This window comes from Homo sapiens, chromosome 5 (genome assembly GCF_000001405.40).
Source record: "Homo sapiens chromosome 5, GRCh38.p14 Primary Assembly".
Classification (NCBI taxonomy): domain Eukaryota; kingdom Metazoa; phylum Chordata; class Mammalia; order Primates; family Hominidae; genus Homo; species Homo sapiens.
The window spans coordinates 137062443-137083575 of record NC_000005.10 but is presented as its reverse complement, the minus strand read 5'-3'; the positions used below and the strand labels follow the sequence as shown (position 1 = coordinate 137083575).

General features: G+C 44.8%; 1 protein-coding gene across 1 annotated transcript in view; it reads left to right on the top strand.

Moving 5' to 3' along the window:
- The window catches only part of SPOCK1 (SPARC (osteonectin), cwcv and kazal like domains proteoglycan 1), a 524029-nt gene that overhangs the window by 415751 nt on the left and 87145 nt on the right, over positions 1–21133 (top strand). Inside the window, exon 6 of the mRNA NM_004598.4 lies at positions 15747–15861. Coding sequence (NP_004589.1) covers positions 15747–15861 — 115 coding nt within the window. The remainder of the gene's footprint in view (positions 1–15746; positions 15862–21133) is intronic.

Sequence of the window (21133 nt, the reverse complement as noted above, 5' to 3'; positions counted from 1 at the left end):
TTGCCTGTTTTGTTTACCATCGTATCCCTAGCAACCAGAGCACTGCCTAGCCCATAATAGGTGGTCAACAAATATCAGTTGAATAAATGGAGTGCCGCTGCCCATTGAGGGAGGCATCATGGTTTCCCCCATTTTACAAATCAGAAAGCTAAGGCACAGGAGGGTTAATTAAGTTCCTCAGAGCTTGTAAGGCTGGAGCCAGGGAAGATTTGAACCCAGGTTCATTTGTTTAGAGCCTCTGCTTCCGCCACTCTGCTGCTCTGGGGAGTCAGCAATGTGGCTCCCGAGGATTTGAGTAGCTGATGTATTGGCTTCCCTGTGAGCTCACAGTGACATCCTCTTAAGGCAGTGAAGGAAAGGAGATAATTGATAAGCTTAATTATCTGTGGCAATGACATGATGAGGGCGCCACAATGTGACTGCTCGTTATTACTTTGCAGTGCAGAATTCCCCAAAACGGGAGCACACATATTGCAACAGGCACCATGAGACAGGAGCCGTTCTATTTTGTTCACAGGGTCCCCCCTCAGAGCTTGGTGTTAGAGTGTTTGAGAAACCACTTAGCTGTATGAAACACAGATTATGTTAGATGGAGAGCAGCTAGCTTCCTGGAGATCACAGTTGGCCTTCGTTAATGAATTTTGGCCTGATTAACACAGGATTCGGACTGACATCAAAATATGCAAGTGGAAACTTAGTAGGAGGGGGAGGAGACTAGTTTGAACTTTCTAACTTTGAAATCAGCGGAAGAGAAGGCTCGTACAAAGCTTGGAACTGAGGACTGAATATGTAATGAGCTCTTGGGTCTTTGAAGCTGCCCCACTTTGCTTAGGCCTCTGTGGGCCGAGGCCCAGCTCAGACTCTGGGGCTTTCTTGGCTCTGTTCCATGCCCAAGCATACAGCCAGGATGGAAATCTAAGGCTGATTGACCCTCAAAAGTTGTGCCAACTGCTTCTCTTGTATCTCTTTTCCTAAAAACCTGGATGCTTGTTATGCATCCTCATCCAATGTCACCATTCCCTGAAATCTTCACAAGGACTTCCAGAGGTGTCTTGTCCCTGAATGCCTGCGTCTGTATCACAGGGTTTGTGTTCTCACCCCTCTTGACTGCACCCATGCCACCTGCTTCTCTGTGGATCTTTCTCCATAAGCATCCCCACCCACCTGGTTAGGCTTGTGGCATCTTATCCCAATAGCTTGTTGCAAGTAGCTGACATGTCTCTCCTCCCTTTGTCCCCATGGGCTGGCCTCCTGGTTCTAGATCTGCTTCTTTCTGTGCACACCAAGAAGTTACCCAGATATTTGCCTTCCCACATCAGATGTCTGCATCCCACCTAGCCTTGTGAGTTTGTCTGCTCAAATCATGACTATCTCAGGATCACTGGGGCTGTAGTTCTGGCCTCAAAAGTAAATAGAAAAGGAGAGTGGGGTCTGCATGGACCATGTGACTTGGGCGTTTCTGGCCATGGAGCAAGTGGTGGGAGCAATCAGCACACAACTTGCCTCGCAGGGCAGAATGGTCACCAAGGCAGGCCTGTTGGGGCACCTGGCCTAGCCAGCTCTCCTTTCATCAGGCTCTGGGAGAAATGAGATCAGACATGTTGCAGAAAAACTGTGTAATCAAAAGAAAGGAAAAATGACAGTCTTTGTCCAGCCCTTGACCATTTTCACACCTCAGCTCCATCATCAGAGAATCGACTCTTGCAAGGGCATTTTGTTACTTAAACGTATTTTTCACAGAGGTGATGCCAAGCAAAGAAAATCCTCTTTGAGTTATATGGCTTTTTCGTTCAGCACTACAGCATCTTTCATCTCTAAGCAGTAAAATCAGGCAGTAATTCAAAGTTTAAGTTACTGTTTCATTTAAAAAATATCACTTTAATCTTGTTGCATTTGGTTAAAAGTCTGCTTTGGCATTTTTGGTCACCTTTATCTGTGGTTTCGTTTCTGTTGGCTCTTATGGACATACGCAGGCTTTATTCAGAAAGATATTTGGGGTTTATTTTCTAGAGCAAGTGATAGGGGAGAAAGGAAGAAATTGGGCTGAAGTGCAGAAGTAAAGCAGGCTGAATGGTTGGTGATGGGTGTCTTATGTCAGCCCAAGGTGAGATCTTAATGGCTTTTTTTGACCTTGGACAGTGTCAGCTTTGGACAGAAATTGGTGGATGTGCTTAGCTAGTATCTGTTTTTCCATTTTCAGAGTACACTGGGGGCAACCAGGGATGGAATACTGCCTCTCTATCACTTTAAAAATCTGCTGTTATTCTTTCTCCGTCTGCATTTCTTCTCCCTGATCTGTGAAGTCTCTGTAGGTAAGCGAGGAGAGGTGTTTTTATGCAGAGAGTCTAAGAGAGGTCACTGCTTCAGAAACTAAGGCTCAGGAGCCTGCCCTCTACAGTGTGTTAGTTATGACAAAGAAACACAGACAGCATGAGGAGGGCAGACCCCAGGCCTGGAATGCCCCTCAGAAGGCTGATCTGCAGAGATGTCCAGGGACAGGAGGCACAGCCCCCCTGCTGAGGGATCAGAACAGAGGAGCTGTTGATTGTCTGAACTCTGAATGATAAAGTACTTATGAAGCCTGCACCCTCGGGAGTTCAGAATCAGTTCAGAATTGGTTTGAAGTTGCAAAAGAGGCCATTACTGGGCTGCTTTGTAGCAGTTATAGATCTGATGTAGACCTCTGTTCGCTCTGACCTTCCTTTTTATTAGTGACGTGGTCATCTCACCCGTGCCTTCTGGTGGCTGTGAAGTGCTCTCTCTGATACAGCCACTTAGATTTTCTGTAGTTTTCTTCACTCATTTCACCAAGAAACTTGTTCTTTCTTTGGTGATAGTTGTGGCAGGGCTTTGTGGGGCTTGCTTTCTATCTCATTCATTCATTCATTCTTTTACTCAAGGAATAATTAAAGGACACCTACTGTGTGCTGGCTGTGTTCTGTGTGCCTGGGATACATCTGGGAATGAAAAGACCAAGATCTCCACCCCTGGTGGAGCCCTTGTTTCAGTGAGATCATGGCAGGGGTTCTATAGAGACATCCGGGAGGGACACTGTAACTCTGAGTGTGCACTACCTTGGTACAGTTCTCAGAGAATTCCTTACCATTTGTGTGACTTGGCTTTGTTTGGAAGATAATGGTTCCTGCAGGTACCATGAACTGACAGAGAAGACCATTGTCAGCACAGCCCTGAACACTGTGAAAACATGTGACCTGAGCAAACATCAGAAAACATTTTGACTTGAGACCACATAATTAACCTCTTAAGAGCACAGACTTTAGAATCAGATAGCCTGGATTTGGACTCAGGCTTCGCAAGGTTAGAGCTGGCTTTCATTGGCCAAACGACATCTGTGAGCCTCCATTTCTTCATGTGTAAGATGTATGTTGTTATCATTTTTATCATATAGGGGCTGGGGTGAAAATTAAAGGAGAAAATATAGGTAAAACTTTTAGCACAATGCCAGGTTCATGATTAGTTATATTAAACCTTGTATACATTATGAAGAATTAGAAGCCATTTCTACCAGCACTGTGAAGAATAGAAATATACTTAGTGCTCGTATCTGTATTATGAAGAATACATAGACATATGACACAAATATCCTGAAGTCTAGCAGCTAAATTATAAAATATTAGAGGGTAAGAGGAAACCAGAAGAGCAGGCATGGGACGGTGTGTTGTTGAGTGGGGTGGGCTGGAAATGTCACTGGAGCTAAGGGGGGTCTGCAGGAGTAGGAGTGGTCAGGGTCATGTCCAGAGGAGGACACGCCTGGGTGGGGAAGGTTTGGGATGGGAAAAGAAAGAGGTATTCAGATGAGGCAACATCAGAGTGAAGCAGGGACGGGGAGGAGGAAGAAGACAGCTATTAAGGAATTGTTGCATGTTGTTGAAGAGTCAGAGCAGTGTTGTTGAAGAAGCAGCATCAGTACCAGATGGTGACCAGCATCAAAAGGGAGGACTTGAGTTTTGATCAGGGCTTGAGAGCAAAATGTTAGTTTGGGATCTTTGGTACGACATTTCACTAAGTCGGGGGGGGGGGGAATCAGATGGGATGGTAGGAGAGACAGTCAAAGCTTTCCATCTGTTGGACTGTGACAGTCCAGATACCATTCATGGACCTAAGGAGTATCAAAGCCTGGAGATGGATAGAGATGACTTCATTTGGCCAAGTGCATTGGAGATGACAACAGAGCTGTGTCGATTGTTCAGCAGGTGGTTAGATGGGTGGGGCTGTCCCTCCATCCTCCTGCCCATGCATCTATATAGCTGTCCAACATTTATTTAGTACATACTCTTTTTTAGATTCTTTTCCAGGCACTGGGGCTAACCAAGTGAATTAAAACCTAGTCCTCATGGAACTCATAAGAGAGACAGGCAAGAAAGCTGTCATTGAAGTACAGGGCAAGAGACAGAGTGTTAGAGGTGGGCAGGTGCTAGAAGTACCTAGGGATGCCTACTGCAGGCTCCTGGGGGAGCTGTAGACAAAGCAAAGCATCCAAGAGGAAGCCTCAAGGGACATGGCCGAGGAGACCGAGGGGGAGTAAGCGTGGTCTGCAAGCTGGGTCACAGTAAGCATGTGTTTGGAGAGACATAAGAGATGTGAGTGGAGAGATATGTGGGGTACAGATCTCTGGGGACCTTTTCTGCTGGGCTAAAAGTCTTTACTTTTTGTCTGAGGATAGCAGGATACAAGGAATGGTTGTAAGCTGGGGTAGGGTGTCACAAACACATTTGCATTTTACAGAGATCAGTCCGGCATGGAGAAGCTATTGGAGGAAGAAGAGAATGAATGTGGGCTTTGGGGTATGGAGGAAGGAGCAAAGATTAATTGTCTACCATGTGCCAGGAATGCTGCCAGGCACTAGAGATCTAGAGATCATTAGTTATCCTTTCTACTTCCAGGATGGCTGCAGGAAGTAGGGATTATCTTTAGTGAGGAGGAAATGAAGACTTGGACAGGTTATGTAAATTGACCTGCCTTTAACCCCAGTAAGCAGTGGCGCCCTGGGTGTCAGATTCCCTACTAGGTTTGTAATGAGAGATGCAGACAGATCCTGGGCAGAGAGTTTCTCCCTACCCACCATCACAGCTGGAGAGGTGTGAGTCATGATAGAATCAGGTGCCACCTCAACTTGCCCTCCACCTCCGGTGAATTCTGTCTGTGGAGTAAACTGCCCGAGCCAGTGGGGAACAGGCAGCATGGAGAGGAGGCTTAGTGTGGGCTGGGTCCCCTGCAAGGAAACCAGGACAGCTGGAGAGACAGGCATCTCGAGGGCATTTATAGCTGCAGAGACATTTTAATTTTAAGCAGGTGCCAGCACCTCAGAACATCCTCTTCCTTTCTCCTAGCGCTGCCTGAGCCCACATATCCAGGCTGGGCGAGAGACATGTGAACGAGGTCTCTGCTCCCACATTGCCTCTTGCATCTCCCAAGTCTCTCTGGGATGTTTTGTGCTTTTTTCTATACTTGAAGCATCTCCTCTGTTCTCCTCCTTGTATTTCTTCTCTCTTTTCTTCCCTCCTCTCCTCTGCCATGCCTCCTCTACAGCTTTCTTTTCTTGCTCTCTCCTTCTTTCATTCTTATTTGTGTTCTTTCCTTTCTTACCCTTTTCCTTCTCATCTGTAAAATGAAAGTGATAGTCTCCAACTTCCTAGAGTTTCTGGGAAGATGATGAATTTATTTCAGCAACCTCTTCCTGTCCACTTTCAAGGTACAGCTTATATGTGGCCCTAGGGTGTATGAGCATGGACAGCTCTCTCTAGGAGCTTGCATCAGGTGGGAGTCAAGTTCGGAGACCAGATCCTATGAACAGAACTGTCTTCTGAGGCCCTGGCTGGGCCGCTCTGGACTGCTTGGGAGAGCTCTGATGATCACACTTCACAGTTAATCTGTTAGCTAGGAATAGCTGCAGGCCTTTATGCCTCCAGGAGAGGCTAAGTCTGGCTGCTGTCAGCTTCTGGAACACAGAAGGTGGCCACATCACCTGATTCAGGTCTGTGAGCTGATCAGCTTCACTTCTGTAAGTTGGCTTAGCTAATTGCAACATGTTAAAGTGGCTTTGACTAACATCACTATCACTAGTGACAAGTCACAGTTGACAAGCAAGGGTTGTATTTGGCTGACTCCATTTCTTCCCTGCCGGTCAGCACCACACAGCCGCCAGCAGGGCACCTCCTGTTCTCTCTCCCTTTCCCGAGCTCTGGCATAATTTCTGTCTCCTCTCTGTCCTCCTAGGATTCCTGTAAAGGCTTTGCCAAACCCCTCACTGTTGTAGAAGTCTGTGAGTCATTACACATAGCACTGGACTAGGGAGAAGTGAAGGGGTTGAATTAAAAATTAAATCTGCGGGGGCCGGGCGCGGTGGCTCACGCCTGTAATCCCAGCACTTTGGGAGGACGAGGCGGGTGGATCACGAGGTCAGGAGATCGAGACCATCCTGGCTAACACGGTGAAACCCCGTCTCTACTAAAAATACAAAAAAATTAGCCAGGCGTGGTGGTGGGCGCCTGTAGTCCCAGCTACTTAGGAGGGTGAGGCAGGAGAATGGCATGAACCCAGGAGGCGGAGCTTGCAGTGAGCTGAGATCATGCCACTGCACTCCAGCCTGGGCAACAGAGCGAGACTCTGTCTCAAAAAAAAAAATTTTAAATCTGCTACTTACTCACCTTGTGTCCCCGAGGCAGTTATTTGCTTTCTCTAGTTTCAGTTTCTTCATCTATAGAATGAATGTATTAACACCTGCTCTTAATCTATAGAATGAATGTATTAACACCTGCTCTCACATAGGGTTACATAAGATATATCCCATAAATAAACAAAAAATGTATAAGACACAGATGGTCCCTGACTTACAATGGTTCAACTGAAAATGGTATGACTTTAAGATGGTGCAAAGGAGATATGAATTTACTAGAAACTGTACTTTGGCTACCCGTCAACCATTCTTTTTTTTTTTTTTTTTTTTTACTTTCAGTCCAGTATTCAATAAATTACATGAGATATCCTACTTTTTATTATTAAATAGGCTTTATCTTAGATAATTTTGCCCCACTGTAGACTAATGTGAGTGTTCTGAGTACACTGAAGGTAGGCTAGGCTAAGCTATGATGTTTGTTGGTTAGACATATTAAATGCACTTTCAATCTCTGATTATTTTTACCTTAAGATGGGTTTATTGAAATGTAACCCCATAGTAAGTTCAGGAGCACCTGTACTTGTGATATGCTAGGCTCTAGTCAAAGATACTATTTCCTTCAAGAAGTAGATATGTAAACAGATAAGCACTGTCCAGTGGTGAGTGCAATGAGAGAATTGTCCTGGGGCACAGAGGCAGGAGCCTCAGAAAAGCTTTCCTGGAGGAAAGGCACTGGAGCCCCGTTCGGAAGAGGGGAGGGCTGCAGCTGGCCCAACTGTGGGCCTTCACTGAGAGCCCTTCGGGTCTGGGCTCTCTGCTGCATCCAGGCCTTGCATGGTGAGGCTGTGCATGGTCCCACCTCTCTGATGTACAGCAGGTTGTCCTCCCTCCATGGGGCCAGCCATCTCCTAGAGAGGATGACAGGCCCAGGAACTTCAAGTCCTTCCTCATCTGCACTATTCTCCGAAATCCCAGTTAAGTAAAAAATCCCACAGAAATTTAAAATGTCAAAATAGTGTCCAGTCCTAACAAAATCCCAGGCAGAGGAGATAACAGGGAAAATGTCCAGAAGTGAGAACAGTGGAGGTGAGCCAAGGCAGTTCCCCTTGTGTGCAGTTTGGGAGCTTAAAGCAGGGGCCAGGAGCCTGCTGGGGGTGGGCCTGCACGTGCAGGTCAGGGCTGCACTCCTCTCCACGGTGCCGGCCACTCTTGGTTGCATTGCCTGGAGGACAGCAAGACTCTCCACTGGTTTCGTCACACAGTTTAGAGAAACTATTCAGCCTTGCCTCTAAAACCAAGCCTGTGACAATCTGTACATGAACTGGACTGAAACTTACCTCCTCACTCACTAGAAAAGGGTGTGCTAAATCACTGACAAGATAAACAAGGTAAGAAAATGAGCAAAGCTAATTGCTGATATCAATCAAGAGAATTTTGTGCTTCTGGAAAACCTGGATCACTTGGCCCTTTAACAAATCCTTACTGAAGGTCAGCTCTTTACCAGGTGTAAGCCAGCCTGGATACAGCAGGAAATAGGATCCAGTCCCTGCCCCGAGAGCCGCCCTCTAGCGGGAGCTGCAGGAGGGACAGTAACTGCAACACCTGAGAGTGGCAAGCCACTGGGGAGGGAGGAGCTTAGGGAGGGAAAAGAGGAGTGGTTTCTGGGAAGAGTTCTCCTAGCACCACTGGGCAAAGCAAGTTAAATTTTCTTCCCCTGGCTATTAGTTTAATAATTATTCAATGTACAGAGCATTTAAAGAATAATGCAATGAATGCTGTATACCCGTCATTAAGATTTGACAGTTGTTGCAGTGGCTCACACCTGTAATCCCAGCACTTTGGGAGGATGAGGCGGGCAGATCTATTGAGGTCAGGAGTTCGAAAACAGCCTGGCCAACATGGTGAAACCCGGTCTGTACTAAAAATACAAAAATTAGGTCGGGCGCGGTGACTCACGCCTGTAATCCCAGCACTTTGGGAGGCCGAGGTGGGCTGATCACGAGGTCAGGAGATCGAGACCATCCTGGCTAACACGGTGAAACCCCGTCTCTACTAAAAATACAAAAATTAGTCGGGCGTGGTGGCGGGTGCCTGTAGTCCCAGCTACTCGGGAGGCTGAGAAAGGAGAATGGCCTGAACCTGGGAGGTGGAGCTTGCAGTGAGCCGAGTTTGCGCCACTGCACTCCAGCCTGGGTGACAGAGCGAGACTCCATCTCAACAACAACAACAACAACAACAACAACAAAATACAAAAATTAGCAGGGCATGGTGGCAGGTGCCTGTAATCCCAGCTACTAGGGAGGCTGAGGCAGGAGAATTGCTTGAACCTGGGAGGCGGAGGTTGCAGTGAGCTGAAATCATGTCACTGCACTCCAGCCTGGGCAATAAGAGCGAAACTCAGTCTCAAAACACAAACAAAACAAAAAGATTTGGCAGTCGTTAGTATTTTGGCACATTTGTGTACTCTTGCTTTCTGTATATACATACGTACTTTCCCCTGAACTAGTTAGAAGTAATTTGCAGCATTGTGACACCTCACCCCTAAGAAAAGGGGTGTTCTCTTATATAACCACCTTAACCTTAGTAGGTATTATGCCTGTAAGAACATTCCATAATATCACCTAGCATATAGTTCACATTAACATCACAGAAATTCTTCCCCAAATGTTTGTATAATAATGTGTTTTGTATAATAATTATTAGTCAAGGTTCTGTTAACTTTCACTCATTTCATTTGTTTCCGATTTTTAATTTATTTTAATTAGAAATGATTACTCTAGTATGATAATCCACCTGCCCCAGGTTTGTTTGGTTTGCTTTTAGAGTTCAGACTGTTATAAAATGTCCTCAATTTTGGATTTGTCTGTTTCCTAATGCATAGAGTCGGGTTCAACCTTTTTAATACAGTGCCTCACAGGTGCTACTGTGTATTTTCTTTTGTTGCATATTAGGAGGCACATGCCAGCCTGTCCCGCCGCCAGTGGTATTAGCTTGGACCCTTGGTCCCTTTGTTAAGGGGTGACTGCCGTTTGTTTTATTGAAAGTGTGCATTTTCTTCTTTGTGTAATAATAACACTATAAGGAGACATTTTAAGACTGTGTGAATGTTTCATTCTCTAATAACTTTCACCCAAAATTTTTAGCAAATATTAAATGGTCCTTTTCTGACTCAATTAATTACATGAGGAGTTTCAAAATGGTGACTTTCTAACTCTAGCCTTTCTTTTAAATTTTGTAGCTGCTATTCTCTTGTAAAAAAAAAAAGCATTTTCCTCTTTTACATTTTTAACAGCTTGGTCTTCAAGAAGTTTAAGGCTCTGACTTATTTGGAAGCCTTAACTCATAGAAATGTGTGTGTACCACACAGAGGGAGAGAGGGAGAATAAAAGACTGTGCCGTGGGTCACACACAGGCCAACCATCGGTTCCACTAAGATGGTCCTTCCCGCTCTCCTCATCCCTCTCTAGCTTCCTCACTGTTTCTCAAGTGTAGTCAAAATCTTCTACCCTGGGCCTTTGTGCTTCCTTTTTCCTTGACCCTCCTTCCCCAGAGAGCTGCATGACTCACTTTATTCTGTTCTCTGCTCAGATGTCATCTTTCCAGAAGATTTACTGATCACACCATACATCATTCCCTCTCCTTTATTCTCTGTCTCTTTCTCTCTCTTGCTTAATTCCCTGACTCCCATCAATGCCTGCCATGTGAACTTCATGGAAACAGGCCTTTGTCCCATTGGTTCTACACCTAGACCAGGGTCTGGCCCATAGTAGATGCTCAGTGAATATGTGTTAAATGCAGAAAGGAACACATGTATTTATGGATGTTCAATAAGGTTCTAAATGAGACCAAAGACCTTCCCTTGTTTCTGTGCATAGCTTCTTCCAGATGAACACTGAGCCACTCAAGCTCTGTGCAGAAATGGGTGGTTATTCTCCCGTCAGCCAGGAACAGCATGTTGGCATCTGACTGGTGCAGTCAGCAGCCGCTCACTTCCTGCCCAATTATTAAAGCCGGCAAAGCCTCAGGATTGCTCCCCTCCACCTACTGTGACATGATTTTGGGTGAATAAAAACAAATCAGAATTCATCAACTGTGAACAAAATTGTCAACTGTGAACTGTCAACAGTCTGGCTTAAAAAATGGATGATAGGTTGATGAAATACAGTGGAGAAAGCAATTTGAATAAAATGTTAAAAATAATACCCAAAGCATGAGAGGCAAAGCAGAGTGTGGTGTGGTAGAGAAATGTACTCGGTTGAGACCTGTGTGAGCAATGAACCAGAAAGAGGTTGTTAGCTGTGCTTTACAAATCATAAAAGAGAAAGATTTACTGACCATTTACGGAAAATATTCACTCATTCCAACCAATGTATTAGAGTGTTATGCAAAATGGAAGGAAAGATTGGTTGGGAAATCTGCTAGCACATTTATTTTTAAGTAGGTCAACATTTTGAGTGTATCTGCCTGTTCATGTCGTCATTGGCTCTTGCTTCTTTTTCTGTCTGCAGTGATAAGGGCAGGCAGGCATCTCTGTTTTAGCAGGTCGAGGGTCTAGAATCCCCAGGGGTTTGTATTTATAATAATATGTTGTGTATGAGTATGGGTTCTAGTATAATGTTTAAAAGTCCTTAACTTATTTCCTAGTTTCTCAACTCTCCTCCTTTAGAGAGTTAGAGTTAATTATTTATTTGACTGCTTCATCATAAAATCAATATAAAGGTTTGAATTTTTAATATTTCCTCTTTTCTGGGCATGCGTCACAACTGATACAACTTGGCCAAGTTCTTTAGGTCCAACTGCTCATATCCTGAGGCTGCTGTTTCATAGTTTTTGTTTTGTTTCTTTCCAGCAGAGCTGAGCCATCTTGGCACAAAGATCTGTGCTTTATAAACCTAAGACAAAGTGTCTTCATTCCTTAGAGTCTCTCTCTTTTTAAAAAATCTGGATGGAAAGAATATTAATTTGTTAGTGCTACTGTAACAAAGCGCCACTAACTGGGTGCTTCAACAACAGAGATTTATAGTCTTTACATAGAGTCCTTAGTGTAAAGCTGGAATGGTGATCAGGTTTTGGCTTCTGTATCTGTTCTTCCCTAGAAAGAACCTGGGAGAAGGGAGGAGGGAGGATGAGGGAAAGTGATTGGGAGGGTAACTTCAAGGGTGAGAATTAGAGAAGTGTTGTGGGAAGAGAACATCTGTGGGAGGCCGTGGGCTCAGGAGCAGAGCTTCACACTCTCAACCCTTCCTGGAGGGCTCTACCCGCACTTGCTCATGGAGTTTTCTGGGAGGTGTGGTTCTAGCTTCGTTGTCACCTCCATAGGAGCCTATAAACATTGTTTTATATTTTATCATAAAGTCTTTGATACATAAAAATGTATATATTATTTATAGAAGTTGTCAAGCTTAGTAACAGAACAAAAGCCTCAGAATCTAATGCTTACTTTATAAAATAAAACATCATCAATGTTTGTGACGCTTCCCTTGGGCTCCTGTCTGACCAGTCCTGCTGCCTTCCCTGGGGAGGTGACCCCTATCTTCCTGGTATTTGTCATGGTCCCCTCCCCTGCCAGTTTTTAAAGGAGCTTTTACCACATGTATCTGTATCTCTAAATAGCCTGTTTTAAGCTTTATAAAAAATGGAATTATGGCTGGATATGATGGCTCTTGCCTGTAATTCTAGCATTTCGGGAGGCTGGGGTGGGAGGATGGCTTGAGCCCAGGAGTTTGAGACCAGCCTGGGCAATGTAGTGAGACCCTATCTCTACAAAACATGTCTGTAGTCCCAGCTACTCATGAGGCTGAGGCAGGAGAATTGCTTGAGCTCAGGAGTTCAAGACTGCAGTGAGCTATGATTATGCCACTGCACTCTAGCCAGGGTGACAGAGTGAGACCCTGTCTCTTTAAAAAAAAAAAAAAAAAAGAAATTGGCCTTTTGAGCTACATATATGAAATGCCACATATTGTCCTGAAAGGTAAAAAAACAGATCTGTGCCCTTGAACTTGGATTTTCACTGATACAGATAAGAGATAAGTACTGTTTTCTCTGGTGGTGTCTTTCTGTAGCTAGGGAGGAGACTGAGCTGCCTGCAGAGATGGCCACCAGGGCTGGACAGGAGAGGGGATGCTGCAGGCCAGCCGAGAAAGTGGATTCCAGGAATTACAGTCCACAGGGCCCACAGTCATGGCAAGGCCACCCAGAGAGGCTCATACTCCAATGATAGGCTGGGGTGAGCAGGCAGGCTGAGGGGCAGAGTACTCAATGTGGAGCTCAAAGAGGCGTCTCAGGGAGTAGACATGGGTAAAGGATGGTTTAGGATGAATGTGGTGAGTACTGAGCTCCAGCACTTCCTTCCTTGTGCAGGCAGATTGGTAAGCACCCAGGGACTGGAACAGAGGTCCAGAGCAGCAAAGTGAATTGTGGCTCCCTTCTTTCTGCCTTTGTCATTCAGCAGCTGTTTATTGAACACCTACTCTATGCCAGGGCTCTGTGTATGTCATATCATGCCAGGGATAAAACACTAACTAAAACCTTTTCTTGCTGTTAAGGCCTTCATGGTCTAGCAGGAAGGAAGTCATTCTGTTGGTCAGCTTTTGCTAAGTTATGCTGTAATAACAAATAATCCCCAAACATCATTGGCTTATTATGATAAACCCTATTTCCGTGTTCACATTGTGCGTTAGCTGTGGCTCTGTTCAGAACACTTCAGCTCTGTTCCATGTTCTCTGCCTTCTGGGTCCTGGGCAGAAGGGAACAGCCCTTATCTGGCACATCATTTTCATGGTAGAGAAGAGCAACAGAGGTGATGAAACCAGTGATTCTTGACATGTCTGCTCAAACCTGGCTTGCATCCCTCCTACTAACCACCACTGGTTGGAGTGAGCATGTGGCTAGACCTGGTGGGAAAGTTGACCCTCCTACAGGGAGGTGCTGCTGCAAGACATGGGGCCTGGAGCAGAAGTGTGGATTCCTCTCTCAGAGAGAGAAGAGAATGGGTTGGAGAGGGGGAGTCTCACAGTCTATCACAGATACAATCGGGCAGTAACAGCAATAGCATGATAAGGCTTTATGATAAACAAAGGTAATAATTTTGACTTTATGAAACAAATGGACACATAAAAATATATTTGTTCCCCTAAATTAGCTTTAAGGATTCTTTTAATAAGCCAGAGAACCACTAGTCTGAAACAGAGGATTGTTCCAGAGAACTAGCCCAGAAGAGGCGGAGGAGGCAGCCCGGTCATGGCAGCTGTGTCCGGCTCTGGGCACGTGCACACACGCTGTGCTGAATGAAAGGAAGCTCCTCATGCTAGTGACCTGCCTGCTGCCTTCCCGGCGTTCCACTCGGCTCACCTTCAGTCCACGTGCTCTCTGTAGCACATCCCATACCTGAGGTCCTCTTTCGTGCCCCATCCCTATGGAGACATGTGTCCTGCCTCACCTCATAGTCACATCCACATGGCTTTACAAGGACACACTCTTTTTTGCTTCATCAGCTCAGTTGATGTGTGAGACGTGGGCAATGGCTTATTTTTGTGTAGCCCCCACAATGCCTGCTGCCATGCTGGGCACGTACTAGGCACTGAACAAATATGCACAAGAGGAAGTTTTGTATCAAGAGGGAGCCAGCATTCTGTAGGTTTGCTCTGTTGCCCTCTCCCTGAATGGGCAGCCGGTGACTGTATGGGTGATCATTGGAGTGACACAGGAGTGACTTCAGTACATTAGAACCAGGTTTAAAGTATTCTTTCCCTCCGTTTCTAATCGGTATAGGGACTGAATAGCTTGTCCTCTTACAATGAGCCAGTATTTATCTGCACTCGTGTGTGGCTTTGCAAATGCTAGTGGACTTTTTTCAAAGGTATGCATTTGTGTTTTCCAAGGGCAAGGACTGTATCTCCTCTTTTCTTTCATTTAAAAGATTCCCCATGGCACCTGATAAGAGCTGCATGCACAGTGGGTGCTTGTTAAATTTCACCTATCTCTTCTTCCTTTGAACCTCCACCAGATATGCATGTGGTCCTGGGCCCGTGGGTCTTTGCAGAGGACTGATTACACACCGGTCTTGATCTTGAGAAATTTACAGACAAAAAAGGAGTAAAGTCTCAGACAACACAGATCCAGGCCAATAGCAAAGTTGCATAATTAGCCACACACAGTTCAGTATGGGATGTCTGTATTCCGAAGCCCCATATACACAGTGTTGTGGAATGCATTAAGTGCTTGGCCCTGAGCTTTGTGATCTTTTGCAAGTTACTTAACCTGAGTCTTAATTTCCTCTTCCATAATGCAAGAATAATACAAATGCTGATAATTGTTGTGGTCTTTTGCACCTATTAATAACATTCCTCTCTCCTGCCTGTGTTCTGAGAATTCATTGAGACTTTAGAGTAAAGAGCTGACAGAAAAATGACTAAAATATTACCATTGCTACTGATAAAGGGTTGACAAGAGGATGTGGATTATGGGCTTCTAATATTTAATCCTAGAATTAGGTAAACATTTCCACGGAGTCACAAGCTAGTTAGACCACAGGCATCCTCTGATGGGGGAAGACCCGTGTAAACTTAGGTTTTGGACAACGGAAGCAAGAGCATTCATTCTTCATTGCTCCCAAGGGGAAGGGGCTGAGCCTCAGATTACCATACAGACTTACTAAAGGGATTGTTACTCTTCCCTCCCAGGAAGAGCATGTGAGCAGGCTGAGAGGGACCAGGAGTGGTATTCCAGCGGTGTTACCTCCACACGGGAGGAGTGTGGAGAAGATGCCTCAAAGTGAATGGAGGGGGTTCCTGGACCAGATAGGACTCTACAGATGTTAAGTTTCATATTAATAATTTTATTTTAGAAATAGTGACAGTAGGGTTTACCATCATTAAAGGAAGTCTTCTAGGGCTTCCACAGTGTTTTTAGAAGTTATCCTCTGCATTTGGTAAAATATAAAAGGCCATTTCTTATTTAGTATTCTGTAATTGAGACCTCTACCTGAGGTCGACCTCTCCCTGCTTTGTCTTTGCTTTTGTGAAGCAAAGGGCACTGCTGTTTCTTAGGAGGCGGGGTAGGGGTCTGTTATGGCTGCATTCTTAAGACCTGTTGTGTCTCTCTTTTGCAGTGCAAATTGGAGTTCCATGCTTGTTCTACTGGCAAAAGCCTCGCCACCCTCTGTGATGGGCCCTGTCCCTGTCTCCCAGAGCCTGAGCCACCAAAGCACAAGGCAGAAAGGAGTGGTGAGTGAGGGTTTCCTTCAGAGAATTCGTGGGCAGGAATGGGGGGTCACAGAGGGTTGATGTGGCCGAGCTCTGTCCCAGGCACTAGGAACAAACTGGAGAAATGAGCAGACATGACAGGTAAGTACTCCAGATTTAGGGACCCTAAACCGAATTGCCTTCAACTACCATTAAAAAGATGAACAAGAGCCTTTGAAAATAATCCTGTTAGACCAGGATATCCACTAGGTTCTTTTAGAGGTCATATTCGCTATGGTGTGGGAGGAGCTGTTTTTCAGCATCTAAGACCGGACCTGCCCTGGGGTACATCTTAGTCTTTCTTGAACTCTAATCTTTTGAATCCTTTGAACTTCTCAAGGCCAAATATCAAAACAGAGACTGCAGAGATGTCACAACAGTGGAGAGAGTTCTCCCCTAAAGTATTTCTTTATTAATATATTCTGCTTGTAAGGCAGCACAGAGCCAGGGGACAGATGAAAGAGAATACCTCCCTAAGGGTAACTGTTTCTCTTCTGTGGCTGAGAGGGCCAGGAAAGCTTGGGCTCATTTGGATGTTTTCATGATGGAGAAAGTAATGTTGTCCCACTGGTCTCAGCCTCTTTTTGAGCCTTCCTTGGTGAGACCCAAGATAGACGTTTGAATTTGCCTTCTGTGGAATTCAGCTTTCTCAGCTGTAGTTGGCTTTTCTTGGAAATTGTTGCATTTCTCTCTCTCTCTCTCTCTCTCTGTGTGTGTGTGTGTGTGTGTGTGTATGCTTATGTTTTAAAATCTAGGAGTGATTTGTAATGGAGTGGAATGAATGGGGTATGAGCGTTTATCTATCTGGCTCTTTATAAGCTATGTTGTCTTTTCCAGGGCAAATAAATGATGAAGATTTCAAATCTAAATGTGATCATGGTGACTTCAGGAATATTGTGTTTAAAGGCTCTTTAGGAGGTTTAAGTCAGGATGTGGAAGGACGTTGTAAACCATGAAACACTGTGATTACAAATAATCTCCAGTTATTATTCTTGATTTCTAAAAAGCTAATCTCATTGCAGTTAGGCCTGATTCATTTAGTTATAAATGCAGTAAGAAAAGTTAACTAATATACATAAGCCTCTTTGTAGTCTGGTCAGAAAATCTAAAGCCATGTGGTGTTAAGCAACTACGTAGCCCAGAAAATTAACTTCTGTCTGGAGATTTCTTAAAAATCTTAGGAAATTTCAGAAGCCTCTCTTATTCTAGGTATATTGTTTATTGCTTTTATTCTGAGGCTAGACATTGCCATGTTGCCAGCCGGGTGTGGTGGCTCACACCTGTAATCCCAGCACTTTGGGAGACCAAGGTGAGTGGATAGCTGGAGGTCAGGAGTTCAAGGCCAGCCTGGCCAACATGACGAAAACCCATCTCTACCAAAAATACAAAAATCAGTCAGGTGTGGTGGCTGGTGCCTGTAATCCCAGCTACTCAGGGGGCTGAGGCAGGAGAATTGCTTGAACTCGGGAGGTGGAGGTTGCAGTGAGTCAAGATTGCGCCACTGTACTTCAACCTGAGCAATAGAGTGAGACTCCATCTCAAAAATAAAAAATAAAATAAAGTCATTGCCACTATTTTGCCTGTAGCATCTACAAATGAGGGTGAATGCATCTCTCCTTAAGAGAGATGGCCTCCAAGTCTGCCATTATAAGGTAACAGTCCAGGTTTCTGGGAGGGCCTCATGATTTTGCAAATAAAAAACAACCCTTGTTTCTTAATGATGGGCTTCATATTTAAGCAGATGAGACTGACACTCCAGGTGTGGCCTTGACTGTGCCATCTATTTGTTCAATTATTTACGAGTAAAAATGAGAACAGATTCTTACTGAATCTATACAAGTAACCCCATTGCCATTAAAAGTAAAGAGACTCAGACAAAGTGTTGTTCCTGAATTCTGAAAGGCCAGTGAGAACAAGATTACCATTTAAAAATCTTTCATTTCAAAATGTTTACAAAAGCACAGACTACTAAGTTAATGGTGAGAGATCAGGAAAAAACAGAAAACACTCTGTGATATCAGAAAATAGAACATTAAAAATAATACCAACAATATTATAAAACAACTAAAATTCTATTTCCTCATCAGTTCCTTTAGTCCAATATAATTATTTTTGCTCCACCAGATCTTGGGTCAACAGTTTGCTTTTATGAACACCCTTTGGAAATTATCTAAGAAATACCACCTTGGAAGCCTGCACCAATGAGTCTGTTAATTGAAGTGTCAGTAGTTCAAACTTGGTACGATTCTTTCCATGAGGTTCTAAGACTGTCCTTCATTGTTAAAGACCTCATTTCTAGGCTCTGACTTACAGCAAAGTTTTCACGTAAGCATGAGGGGAAGCAGAAGCTACCTGTTGGTGGTAGTTAATTTATGACAGTACCAACAGTATCCTAATGCAGGAGAAAATAATCACCTATTAGGGTACATGTTTAACTATCTAATATGGATTCTTTTTTTTTTTTTTTTTGAGATGAAATCTCGCTCTGTCACCCGTGCTGGAGTGCAGTGGTGCGATCTCAGCTCACTGCAACCTCTGCCTCCTGGGTTCAAGCAATTCCCCTGCCTCATCCTCCCTAGTAGCTGGGAGTAGAGGCGTGCACCACCACGCCTAGCTGATTTTTGTATTTTTAGTAGAGACAAGGTTTCGCCATGTTGCTCAGGCTGGTCTTGAACTCCTGGCCTCAAGCAGTCCTCCTGCCTCGGCCTCCCAAAGTGCTGGGATTACAGATGTGAGCTACTAGGCCTGGCCAAACTATCTAATATGGATTTGATCAGTGTTTTCCTACAGGATAAGAACACATTTGGGGGAGTGAGGGCATTGATAAATCCCCAGAGTCATTCTTTGAAATGAAACATTTAAGTAATAATGCTTTACCTGGACAAAATTGAGCAAGAGAAGGCTGACCTTTTCCTTTGATTTGACACCTCTTTCCATGCAGCTCTCACAATAATTTATGACAGGCAACAGGGCTGACCTGAGGTGGTGGCAGTTCAAATGAAGAGGAGGGCATGGGTACAAGGGAGAGGTCAGAGGTGAAATAAAAGGAAACTTTGAGTTGGCAACTTAGCCGTGGACAGAGGGAGGAAGAAGAGCTGAGCATGCAGTCCACCTCCCCTTACCTGTCAGCAGCCCCTTCCAGAAGCTGCAGGCAGTGGGCATGGTGTCCACAGGCAGTCCTGGCCTCTGAGACACATTGTGGCTCTGGACCGTAGGAGGAGCTGTCTTATTTCTGTGCCTATTGCAGAAATGAGAGTTTACAGTCTTATAAATGCAGGTCTGTAAAAACTGTGGCAATACACACACGCACACACACGCACACATACACACACACAAACTGTTGTGGTGATATTTTATTTTCAACCTTACCTCTATTCTGAACCTCATTTCTGAGGTGAAACATAAAGTCACTCCCAGGTCAATTCTGTTAATGCAGGGCTGTACCTGAATTCCAGGAAGTAGAAGTGGGCTGAGGGCTTATGAGCTACAGTATTGGTGGGAGGCTTTTCCTGGTGTTTTCTTTTTCTTTGGGATCCATCCCCTTGGATGGAGTTCTTAACATCTTCAGTTAGGCCAGTGGTGTTCATTCTCACTGCATCTACCGAGAGACCTGTACTCACCTTGTCCACTAAGGTCACGGTGAATCCTCTTTCTTCTCTGTTAGATTTCTCTGGGTTTACTAGCCCTCTCAGCTTCTTCTTGGCCCTGTTCAGGGGCACAGAAAACTTGAGGAGGCCCTTCCGTGGTTTTCTGGCATCAAAAAAGACTGTAGTGAGGTTGCTATCCCAAGCCTTCTCTTCATGGATCTGTTCTGTTAGACCAAGATATGCATTAGGTTCTTTTAGAGGTGCCTGGCAACCGTTTCTATTCAATGCAGAGTACAGTTTTATGAGGCTTGCCTCAAATTGGCTTTCAAGCTGGTAGCCAAACACAGGTCCTCTTTACTGCCAGGGCTCCCCACCTGTCTCAGGTTTCAGAATCACCTCTTCCCAACCTAGGGTCCAGAACTGGGTGAGAGATGGGGAGAATTATGGAGAGGAGAATCCAACACTCACCTGCATGGTCTTCTCCTTTTCAGAGGTTTACTTCTTATAGCCCCACTTTGGTCAACACTGGATGTCAGTGTGGAGGATGTATGAGGCAGGTCTAACTCACTCTCTTCCAATCTCCTAGTGTGCTCTGCTTCTCTGCCTCTTCCAGCCTTTGGTCTTTTGAGTTATAACATCTTCAGCTCTGGCAAATCAGAACTCTCTTGTCTCACCTTTAAGTTTCATCTGTTTTTTTTTTTTTTCAGAAGTCAAAGCCAAGATTTTTTTGTTGTTGTTGTTCTCTTTGTTTATCTGGCATCTCTCCTTTGGCATGTCCCCTGAAGAGATGGTGGAACCTGAAGAGATGGTGGAAGGTGGGACCATCTTTTAAAATTTCCGAATATTTCTTTCTTTTTTTTTTTTTTTTTTGAGATGGAGTCTCGCTCTGTCGCCCAGGCCGGACTGCGGACTGCAGTGGCGCAATCTCGGCTCACTGCAAGCTCCGCTTCCCGGGTTCACGCCATTCTCCTGCCTCAGCCTCCCGAGTAGCTGGGACTACAGGCGCCCGCCACCGCGCCCGGCTAATTTTTTGTATTTTTAGTAGAGACGGGTTTCACCTTGTTAGCCAGGATGGTCTCGATCTCCTGACCTCATGATCCACCCGCCTCGGCCTCCCAAAGTGCTGGGATTACAGGCGTGAGCCACCGCGCCCGGCCCTGAATATTTCTTACTACATCTCTAAATTACCTCCTGACAAGGGCAGGTGACTTCATTGCCTTATCTCTCTCATCTCCATAAAGCCAGTCCAGCCTCAAGAGTATGAAGCAATGGTTATCCACAAAAACAAAAAACAAATAAAGGAAAACACAGTTAAAAAGAGGGAGATGAAATTGAAATCTCTGCGTTGGGCTGGGGTTCTGTGCATTTTTTTGTTTTTTTCAGGAAAGGTCTCTCCCAGTTTCTCTTGGTATTTTTTAGGACCCAACAGTCAGCCCCGTCAGCAAAGTCACTTTTTAGCTCTGACCTGAATTCTTCAGCTCCAGGGCATTGCTGATGCTTTTTCTTCAGTACTCGGTGAAAACCATGAGGAAAGTCTGAGGTGCTGTCTTTATTATTATTATTATTATTATTATTATTATTATTTATAATGCTTGAAAATCTCAAGAGGAAATAGAGGTCTCTCAAAAGTGGAGGCTTTAAGGTAGATTTTTCAGCTAGCCCATACT